General features: G+C 39.3%; 1 annotated feature.

Annotated features, from left to right (window-relative positions):
• Positions 741-910: an enhancer, noted in NCBI's record as "experimental_87934 CRE fragment used in MPRA reporter constructs". NCBI's record gives its function as "activates a minimal promoter by MPRAs in K562 erythroleukemia cells, with activity observed for the non-introgressed 6:115826326 variant allele {active_cell/tissue: K562}" and the evidence as "EXISTENCE:reporter gene assay evidence [ECO:0000049][PMID:34662402]".

Below are 1146 nucleotides of genomic sequence, written 5' to 3'. Positions count from 1 at the left end.
TCTGAAAGAGAACTAATAGCTAAGAATTGAATTTGGTTGCATATAAGTAAATGGAAGAAAGTGGGCTGGAAAAAATTATAGTCTAGAGCTGGCACAGCAGTGCCATGAAGTCTCAGATCCAGTTGTTTAATTTTTATTTTCCCCCTCTCTCACCCATAGATGTTCTGCGCTTATCCTGTGGACAATTATTTCAGGGAAAGTGAAAAAATGTGAGGAGTATACTAGGGATCTTTCTATCAGAGTCTGCTTCTTTCTCATGAACTTTCTTTGGTGCCTTGTTTGACTTTTGCTTACTTCTTGCATACATACAGTTTTGCTCATAGCCTTGCAGGTGGTGAGCTGAAAAGGATCACCTTATCTAAAGTAGTGCAATTCACATTATAAATGTGTACTAATTTTAATGGAACACAAACTAGATAGGTTTTAGAATTCTCTTTAGCAACAGTAGATACAAGATGATGAAGCCATGTCTTTCAAGTACTAAGGGGCAATAATTTTAAATCTAGAATTCTTTCTTTGGTGAGATAGCGTCTTACTCTGTTACGCAGGCTAAAGTGCAGTGGTGCATTCATAGCTCACTGTAGTCTTGACCTGCCAGGCTCAAGCAATCTTCCCACCTCAGCCTCTCAAGTAGCTGGGACTACAGGAGTGTGCCACCATGCTGGCTAATTTAAACTTTTTTTTAAAAGAGATAAGGTCTCTCTATGTTGTCCTGGCTGGTCTCAATCTCCTGGGCTCAAGTCATTCTCTCCCCTCAGCCTCCCAGTGGGCTGGAATTAAAGGTGTCAGCCACCATGCCCAGCCTACATCTGGAATTCTTTATCCAGAAAAACCATTATCCGATTCAGAGGATTAAAATACACTGTATGGCCAATTGACACTCAAAGGGTTAACTACCTTCAGACTTTCTTTGAAAAAAAACAAAAAACAAAGAGATGATACAATCCATTATAAAGAAAAAGTGAATCATGGAGAAAGTAGCAATATATCACAAAGATAGTATATTAGTCCATTTGCATTGCTATAAAGGAATATCTGAGACAGGTAATTTGAAAGAAAAGAGGTTTATTCGGCTCATCGTTCTGCAGACTGTACAAAAAGCATAGCACCAACATCTGCTTCTGATGAGGGCCTGAGGAAGCTTCC

Source organism: Homo sapiens, chromosome 6, assembly GCF_000001405.40.
Source record: "Homo sapiens chromosome 6, GRCh38.p14 Primary Assembly".
Classification (NCBI taxonomy): Eukaryota; Metazoa; Chordata; class Mammalia; order Primates; family Hominidae; genus Homo; species Homo sapiens.
This window is presented reverse-complemented; position numbering and strand designations above follow the sequence as displayed.